This window comes from Homo sapiens, chromosome 13, assembly GCF_000001405.40.
Source record: "Homo sapiens chromosome 13, GRCh38.p14 Primary Assembly".
NCBI classification, from domain to species: domain Eukaryota; kingdom Metazoa; phylum Chordata; class Mammalia; order Primates; family Hominidae; genus Homo; species Homo sapiens.
The window spans coordinates 38033108-38043511 of NC_000013.11; the positions used below are offsets into that span (position 1 = coordinate 38033108).

Genomic DNA, 10404 nt, shown 5'->3' on the forward strand with positions numbered 1-10404 from the left:
ACAAATACGATAAATAAAATTTGATCCAGGATGCAAGTCGCTGTTATCCACAAGGTAAAAGAAGCCATCATTCTAGAGAAGTATGCTCATTCTGCAGGCAGTGATATTCAGGAGCTGATTCGCTCTAGCTTAAACCATGCAATGTGATACATTTGTGGGCATGTCTTCTCAACCTTGAGTCCAGTGAGGTCACATTGATATCTTGAAATTAGCCAGCGTGGAAGAATTTACACCATGGGGATTGGCAAATGCTGCATAGAAGGGATTTTTGTCCCCTAGAAAGCTAGTTGTCAAATGTTGACTAGCACATCCCTACTTAAAGGTCTTTCCAGAACACATACAGACACATATATTAGGCCTGTCTTATAGTAACCCTCAATGTAGGCAGGATACTTCAAAGATACAATTCAGTTAAAAAAAATGTGCCTGCCAATGAATTATAGTCTGGATAACCTGATCTTGGTTAGTAGGAGTTAATCAAATTATATATTTTATAATATATGAGAAAAATAATGGACAACATATACTTCTTTACATATTTCTTTCTCTAAGCTGAATATCAATCAATATTAGAAGCAATTAATTCAAGGTAGTAGTATCTGACAATTAGCTGGAACCTAACTACATTGTTAGGTAATTTTAGATCCACATGCCTCTAATAATAATAAAGCTAAGAGAATAAAGACACCTTAAAAGGATAAGAAATCAAGGTGTTCTTGCTACTTATTCTTTCCTGGTTTATTTCCACCCCTTCAAATTGAATACTGAAGTATTTGCACTCAAATAAATCAGAGCTGGAAAAGAAAAGGTGTTACTTAAACCTAGAAAACAAGCAAATAAATCCAGTTTAATTTTTAGTAAATAGCTTTCTTGACTTCATAAAATTGTGTTGGTCTTGACAAAGACACCTAGTGAGAGTATCTCTAGCAGAGACATTTAAGGCTTCTTGCTGTGTGTTTTTTGTCCTTTGTCTCTTTGTGTCAGCTAATTCTCAATTAATACTATGTGGGTCTATGGTCAACTCATGTGTTTGTGTGTGTGTATGTGTGTATGCATATATATACACACACATATATATTTACTGTATCATATATTAATCATAAACATATACATACATTTTTAGGTTTGAAATATTATTCTACACTTCAGCCATAATGGATTATACTATATTAATTTTGAAGGTTATTACATCCATGTTCTGTGATGAATGACTATTAACTTTTGTGTTCTGACTTGAATGCCATGAAATTCTTAGTTCTCAGCTCTCAATCCTATAGGAGAAATGCAGTCTATTTCACTCCCTTAGCGTCTTATATTCATACATAGATCATGTATAAAATGCAACTTGTAAAAGTAGGTGTCATCTTGTGCTCCAAAGGACACCATCCCAAAAGGGAAAAACACAAGAGAATGGGAGAAAATATTTGCAAATCCTATATCTGATAAGGGACTTGTATCTAGAATATATAAGCAACTTACAACTCAATAAAAAAGTAGATATATAATCAAATTTTAAAATAGGCAAAATATCTGAATAAATATTTCCTCAATGAGATATACAAACAGTCAGAAAGCAAATAAAAAAGTGCTCCACAATAGGAGTCATCAGAGTAACATAAAACCACAGTGAGATACCACTTTGCGCATACTAGAATGGCTATAATCAAAAGGACAAATAACAATCAATGTGTTGGAGATGGTGAACAAAATTGGAACTCTCATATACTGCTGGTGGGAATATAAAATGATTCAATCACTTTGGAAAAGTCTGGCAATTCTGCAAAAATTAAAAATACAGTTACCTTATATATCAGTCATTCCACTTCTAAATATTCTCAATAGGAATAGAAACACAAGTTCTCACAAAAACTTGTGTATAAATATTCAAAACAGCATTACTTATAATAGTCAAAAAATGGAAACAACTCAGATATTTATCAACTGAACAACTGATTAAAAATGTGGTCTACCCATACAATGGAATATTATTCAATAAAAGGAAATGAAGTACGCATGCATGTTACAAGATAGATGAAGCTTGAAAACATTATGCTAAGTGAAAGAAGCCAGTCGCAAAAGAGCATATATTGTAAGATTCTACTCATATGAAATATCCAGAAAGGAAAAATATAAGACAGGAAGTAGATTTGCTCTTGCCTAGGGCTGGGGCTGATGTTGAGTGTTAAGTGGGGAGTCACTGCTAATGGGTAGAAGGTTTATTTTTTGGGTGATGAAATGTGCTAAAATTGATTTTGATTTTGATTCTGTTTGTACACCTCTGAGAATATACTCGCACCTGCAATCCTAGCACTCTGGGAGGCCGAGGCAGGCGTTCGAGCTCAGGAGTTCGAGACCAGCCTGGGCAACACGGTGAAATGCCTGTATCTACCAAAAAAAAAAAAAAAAAAAAAAATTAGCCAGGTGTGGCTGCACATGCCTGTATTTCCCAGCTACTTGAGAGGTTGAGGCAGGAGAATCGCTTGAACCCACGAGTCACAGGCTGCAGTGAGCTGAGATCATGCCACTGCACTCCAGCCTGGGTGACAGAGTGAGACTCCATCTCAAAAAAGTAAATAAATAAAACAATAAAAGTTATAGATACTAAAAACTACTGAATAGTACCATTTAAATATATGAACTGTATGGTATGTGGATTATATCTCAATAAGCTGTGTGTGTATATATGCACACTATATATACTCAAATAATAAATATATATATATACACACACACATACACACACACTCAAATCAGAGATGGGGAGGAAAAAGTATGTGCGTATATATTACACACACAGATACTTTATATATATATATGAAGTATATGAAATATATATATATAACACACACATATTTTATATATATACATATATACATACACACATACACGTGTATGTATGTATATATATACACGTGTATATATGTATATACATATATACATACATATATACATACATACATATATATAAAGTGTGTGTAATATATATAGTTCACACACATAGAACTTTATATATTACACACACACACTTTATATGTATGTGTCTATATATATATGTAGTTCACACACACACAGAACTATATATATATATATATATATATATATATATATATATATATATAAAGTTCCATGGATGATTGGTAGTACTACACACACAGACATATATAGTACTACCAATATATAGTACATGTAGTAGTAATAGTATATGTAGTATACATATATGTACATATATATACACATATGTAGTATACATATATGTACATATATATATACACATACATATGTAGTACTACCAATCATCCAAGGAACTTATCTTCACTATCATGGCTATTCAACTTAATTTGAATCATTATGTTTCTGAGTCAATCCAGTAACTCCAAGTTAGACAACATGACTTAGAAACAACAATATTCATCTGAGATAGAGTAGATTTGCGTTTTTATCCTGGCCTTGCTGCTCACTATTTGTATTGACTTTATATTTATCTTTGGCAAATTCCTTCACCTCTCTCCCTCAGTCTATGCAGATGGACAATTAGTAGAGTTAACTTGATGGTTACTAAGATCACTTCAAGAAGTGTGATACATCATAGAGAATGTGGCATATGACCAGATTTAAATGATGGGCATTTCATATCCTTTAGGTGATAGATCTATTATTTAAGAATTAATGTGAAGCCAACATAGATACCTCAGTCAAATCTGATCCGCATGTTAACATCTAGAGTTGCCAAAATCTAAGCCGAAATCACTCTAACTCCTCCTTTCCAGTTGTCCACCACATATGATCAACTTTAGTATATTAACAGAATTTCTCTGTATGAGTTCCCAGAAGCCACTTGGATATGTGTATTTATTCATTGATTATTCATCAATTTCATGTGAATCAAAACTATGCCATATTGCAAAAACATTATATACTCCCTTGAAACATTTTTAACAGTCATAACTTCAGATAACACTTAAATTAGTTTTGAAAGAACTAAAAAAATGTAAAATGTATTATGCAGTCAAGTGTAACTGGAACTATTAAATAATAGTTCATTCATAAGAATATAAAATTATGGTTACAGGTAGATATTTGGAAAATCTCCTTCAACTCAGTATTATTGCAACTTTCACATAAATGGTCTGTTTATAAATAGTTTTATAAAATCTTGTGTGATATTTAATTTTTAATTGTTTTGTCTCCCTCAATGAAGCATAAGCCTTTGTAAGTCAGTTTGCATGTTTTAGTTAGGTTTTCACCAGAATTTAGGATATATTTAATTATTAAATACATTTATATTTAACATATATTTAATGTGCATGTTCTGTGTCCTAGTTCCTTTGGCACATATTGATTATATAATAGATTAAAATAAAAGGCAAACATGACTCTGTCCTTTTACAGTTTCTAATATATTTGTATAGAATGTATTTGTGAAATGCTTAGTTTATTACAGACAAGTAACTAAAATCTATCAGAATAAAACACAATATAATTGATTAATATAGCAAAATGTTCAAAGATATTTTATAGGTAAGAGAAAGCGATTTCATTTATTAAAATGAAAGAGATTGGGACATGACCCTTTTATACTGATTTGATATTTAAAGTAAAGAAAAATGTCAATGAGGTTAGTAGAAATGAGTCTTAGCTTTGATTTTATCACTACTTAGCTGTGTAATGTTGAACTAATAAAAACCTCAGTTTCATTATGTGTAAAATGAGAAAATTAGACAAATTTCAATATTCATCCTGCCTGTAAAATTCTGATTATTCAATGTAAATACTTCTCTTTTTTTTATTATACTTTAAGTTTTAGGGTACATGTGCACAACGTGCAGGTTTGTTACATATGTATACATGTGCCATGTTGGTGTGCTGCACCCATTAACTCATCATTTAACATTAGGTATATCTCCTAATGCTATCCCTCCCCCTGCCCCCCACCCCACAACAGGCCCCGGTGTGTGATGTTCCCCTTCCTGTGTCCATATGTTCTCATTGTTCAATTCCCACCTATGAGTGAGAACATGCAGTGTTTGGTTTTTTGTCCTTGCGATAGTTTGCTGAGAATAATGGTTTCCAGCTTCATCCATGTCCCTACAAAGGACATGAACTCATCATTTTTTATGGCTGCATAGTATTCCATGGTGTATATGTGCCACATTTTCTTAATCCAGTCTATCAATCATTGTTGGACATTTGGGTTGGTTCCAAGTCTTTGCTATTGTGAATAGTGCCGCAATAAACATACGTGTGCATGTGTCTTTATAGCAGCATGATTTATAATCCTTTGGGTATATACCCAGTAACGGGATTGCTGGGTCAAATGGTATTTCAAGTTCTAGATCCCTGAGGGATCGCCACACTGACTTCCACAATTGTTGAACTAGTTTACAGTCCCACCAACAGTGTAAAATTTCCTATTTCTCCACATCCTCTCCAGCACCTGTTGTTTCCTGACTTTTTAATGATCGCCATTCTAACTGGTATGAGATGGTATCTCATTGTGGTTTTGATATGCATTTCTCTGATGGCCAGTGATGATGAGCATTTTTTCATGTGTCTTTTGGCTGCATAAATGTCTTCTTTTGAGAAGTGTCTGTTCATATCCTTCTCCCACTTTTTGATGGGGTTGTTTTTTTCTTGTAAATTTGTTGGAGTTCATTGTAGATTCTGGATATTAGCCCTTTGTCAGATGAGTAGATTGCAAAAATTTTCTCCCATTTTGTAGGTTGCCTGTTCACTCTGATGGTAGTTTCTTTTGCTGTGCAGAAGCTCTTTAGTTTAATTAGATCCCATTTGTCAATTTTGGCTTTTGTTGCCATTGCTTTTGGTGTTTTAGACATGAAGTCCTTGCCCACGCCTATGTTCTGAATGGTATTGCTTAGGTTTTCTTCTAGGGTTTTTATGGTTTTAGGTCTAACATTTAAGTCTTTAATCCATCTTGAATTAATTTTTGTATAAGGTGTAAGGAAGGGATCCAGTTTCAGCTTTCTACATATTGCTAGCCAGTTTTCCCAGAACCATTTATTAAATAGGGAATCCTTTCCCCATTTCTCGTTTTTTGTCAGGTTTGTCAAAGATCAGATGGTTGTAGATATGTAACATTATTTCCGAGGGCTCTGTTCTATTCCATTGGTCTATATCTCTGTTTTGGTACCAGTACCATGCTGTTTTGGTTACTGTAGCCTTGTAGTATAGTTTGAAGTCAGGTAGCATGATGCCTCCAGCTTTGTTCTTTTGGCTTAGGATTGACTTGGCAATGCGGGCTCTTTTTTGGTTCCATATGAACTTTAAAGTAGTTTTTTCAATTCTGTGAAGAAAGTCATTGTTAGCTTGATAGGGATGGCATTGAATCTGTAGATTACCTTGGGCAGTATGGCCATTTTTACGATATTGATTCCTCCTACCCATGAGCATGGAATGTTCTTCCATTTGTTTGTATCCTCTTTTATTTCATTGAGCAGTGGTTTGTAGTTCTCCTTGAAGAGGTCCTTCACATCCCTTGTAAGTTGGATTCCTTAGAGTCTAAGTCTCTTTGTAGGTCACTCAGGACTTGCTTTATGAATCTGGGTGCTCCTGTATTGGGTGCATATATATTTAGGATAGTTAGCTCTTCTTGTTGACTTGATCTCTTTACCATTATGTAATGGCCTTCTTTGTCTCTTTTGATCTTTGTTGGTTTAAAGTCTGTTTTATCAGAGACTAGGATTGCAACCCCTGCCTTTTTTTGTTTTTCATTTCCTTGGTAAATCTTCCTCCATCCTTTTATTTTGAGCCTATGTGTGTCTCTGCACATGAGATGGGTCTCCTGAATACAGCACACTGATGGGTCTTGACTCTTTATCCAATTTGCCAGTCTGTGTCTTTTAATTGGAGCATTTAGCCCATTTACATTTAAGGTTAATATTGTTATGACTGTGATCCCGTCATTATGATGTTAGCTGGTTATTTTGCTCCTTAGTTGATACAGTTTCTTCCTAGCCTCGATGGTCTTTACAGTTTGGCATGTTTTTGCTGTGGCTGGTACTGGTTGTTCCTTTCCATGTTTAGTGCTTCCTTCAAGAGCTCTTTTAGGGCAGGCCTGGTGGTGACAAAATCTCTCAGCATTTGCTTGTTTGTAAAGGATTTTGTTTCTCCTTTGCTTATGAAGCTTAGTTTGGCTGGATATGAAATTCTGGGTTGAAAATTCTTTTCTTTAAGAATGTTGAATACTGGCCCCCACTCTCTTCTGGCTTGTAGAGTTTCTGCCGAGAGATCAGCTGTTAGTCTGATGGGCTTCCCTTTGTGGATAATCGGACCTTTCTCTCTGGCTGCCCTTAACATTTTTTCCTTCATTTCAACTTTGGTGAATCTGACAATTATGTGTCTTGGAGTTGCTCTTCTCAAGGAGTATCTCTGTGGCATTCTCTGTATTTCCTGAATTTGAATGTTGGCCTGCCTTGCTAGATTGGGGAAGTTCTCCTGGATAATATCCTGCAGAGTGTTTTCCAACTTGGTTCCATTCTCCCTGTCACTTTCAGGTACACCAATCAGACGTAGATTTGGTCTTTTCACATAGTCCCTCATTTCTTGGAGGCTTTGTACTTTTCTTAAAATATCCTTTTGTAGTTTCTTACAATTAAGCTTCCTTTTATTTCCTACTGCACTACTTACATTTTCAATAACTTTAGACCTTTCATTAGGAAAGGGAAAACTAAATGAAAATTATTTGTTAAAATATGAACAGGGGCTACAGAACTCTATGACAGGTGGCATTTTCCTTCCAGAAAAATAAAAAGCAGCTATTTTTTTCCTTGTTTATAAAAGGTGGCATGCCACAGCTGCAAAGCCAATTTTTGAACATTGAAATCTCTTCATTTTGTAAGCCCCCACCAAAAAATACAGCAGTCTTCTCCAGGAGACATAGCAGCAGGATTGTTTCAACTCACCAACATAGAAAGGAAAAAATAAATGTGCGTGTGATTATGCACACACAGACTGATGTGTTTTGTACTGCCTCATGTTCTCTACTGCTATAAAGAGAATCTATAATTTCAGGTGGTGGAAAAGGGAGAGAAGACATGCATATTTTAAAGGAATCTTTAAATTCAATCCAAAAATATATTTTTGTTTGTAAATTAAGCTTTAGACAAATTTAAATTTGCCCTATCACTATCTCCACCTTAAAGCACACTGATATAGTACATATCCAATAATCTTCATGCTGAAAAGTCCCAATTTAAAATTAAGGGTTAGGAAATTTAGGTTTTGAATTATCAGTCTGAAGCCTGAGTTTAGATTATTTTCTAGCTCATTTATGCCTCCAGGAGAAAAAAAAACGAGTCAAAAAATATCTTATTCAAGATATTCTTGTCATTAGGATAAAATACAAAGTTTGCAATACTGCAAAGAAAAAATGAAAAAAAAAGAAAACTAGTTCATAATTGAGGAGGTAACTCCATTTATTAAAAACAAGCCTCAGTCCCTTATAACTAACTACAGGCTTTCTTCTTATGGAAGATTCCTGAAGCAGCATTCTGGAACTCCTGCTTAAATTGGGGGCCAGAGATTCAAAAGAACGTCTCCTATAAAACCTAGTTTAATAGTAATCTTTGGGGATCTTCTGCTTAGATAATAATTTTCTCACGTTAGCTGGTTAATCATAAAGCCTTGTATTCCCCACCTTAATGTCTCTGTGTGGTTTGTGTGTCTCTCTCTATCTCTCTTTCACACACACACACCACAAACACAGACACAGACACAAAACATCTGCTAAATATAAGCAGTTTGCCTATTAAAAAGAGTGCTATAATGAAAATTTAAAAACATACATAGTATTTTATTCATTACTAACTAACTAGATATGATATTATACACAAGCAAACTAGCTCCTTTGAGTTTCCTTTTCTCCCTTCAAAATAGAAACACATTTTATATTTCTTCATCAGAGTGTTGTAAGGTAATGTCTGATAGTACTGAGTCATGAGAGTAAAAATTCTGGGTCGATGGATGCATGCCTTAGAGGAGAAAAAGACAGCAATTCATGTTCTCAGTAGCCTAATACAAAGATGGTTACTTTTTAAAAATCTATTTTACTTTAAAGTCTTTCTCTGATACAGTATTAGTGAGAGGCATGTATAGTTTAATAAGTATAATCTACTAGATATTATTTAATTTTATTAAAGATTTATATGACCTTAGAGCCATAGTTCTGAATTTTAATCTCTCATATAATTCTCAAGATATAAAAACTGGAGATTGGATTGAATATATTAAAAGCCCAAGTCATATGCCAAAGAATGTTTTATTAGCATTACATATTGTGTGCTTTTTTATTTTTTGTATTTATCCATTTCCCTTGATCACCATTTTTTTCTAGGAATATATATATATATATATATATACACACACACACACACACACATATATATATATACACACACATATATATACACATATATATATACACATATATATATACACATACACACACATATCATTATACTTTAAGTTCTGGGATACATGTGCAGAACATGCAGGTTTGTTACATACATATACACGTGCCATGATGGTTTGCTGCACCCATCAACCCATCATCTACATTAGGTATTTCTCCTAATGCTCTCCCTCCCCTAGTCCCTGACCCCCTGACAGGCTCTGGTGTGTGATGTTCCCCACCCTGTGTCCATGTGTTCTCATTGTTCAACTCCCACTTATGAGTGAGAACATGCAAACACCATATTTTTTCAAACCATATTAGATTAAGATTTTAAATAGTGTCAGTTAAAGTAAATGGCTTGGATATAAGATTTTCCTTAATGATATAACAGCTAAAATATGTACAATGACTGCAGGCATTGGAAGGCAACCAATGTGGATTACGGTCTTTGAAAGCAGGAAACACAGAAAGTTAAGATCACACATAGCTTTCCCCCAAGAGCATTTACCAATTACTAAGCTGCTACATAGAACCCAAGATGAATGTCAATTTCACTAGGCAGGGGAGACAGAGATTAGAGCTTAACGGGGTTGACATGGTTGAATCAAGAGGCAGGATTCCACAAAGAAGGAGCCATAAAGTGTCCCCAAAATTTTTCTTGGGTTTTTGGCCAACTGCTGAGATTTGTATACATAAGAAGAGATTCTAGAAGGCCAAGCATAGAATAGCAGCTAGAAGCTGGAGATCATGGAAGAAATCACAGAGGCTACACAGTATTAGGAAGATAGATAGAAGATGACACTGGTTCCAGCTGTAGTGGAGACAATTTGATGAATAGTGAGATTTAGCTAGAGATTCCAGTAGAAACACATTGTAAGGGTAAGACCTAGTTCCTAGGAGTAAGGGTCAGACCTAGTTCCTAGGAGTAAGGGTCATGTCTCTTCTAGGTGTAAGAGGAAAGCTGAAATAATGTACCTTTAAAAAGCCTGAAACTA

At 34.5% G+C, this 10404-nt stretch overlaps 1 long non-coding RNA gene across 2 annotated transcripts in view; it reads left to right on the forward strand.

The window, feature by feature from the left end:
* The window catches only part of LINC02334 (long intergenic non-protein coding RNA 2334), a 131124-nt gene that overhangs the window by 98660 nt on the left and 22060 nt on the right, over positions 1 to 10404 (forward strand). The window lies entirely within an intron of this gene.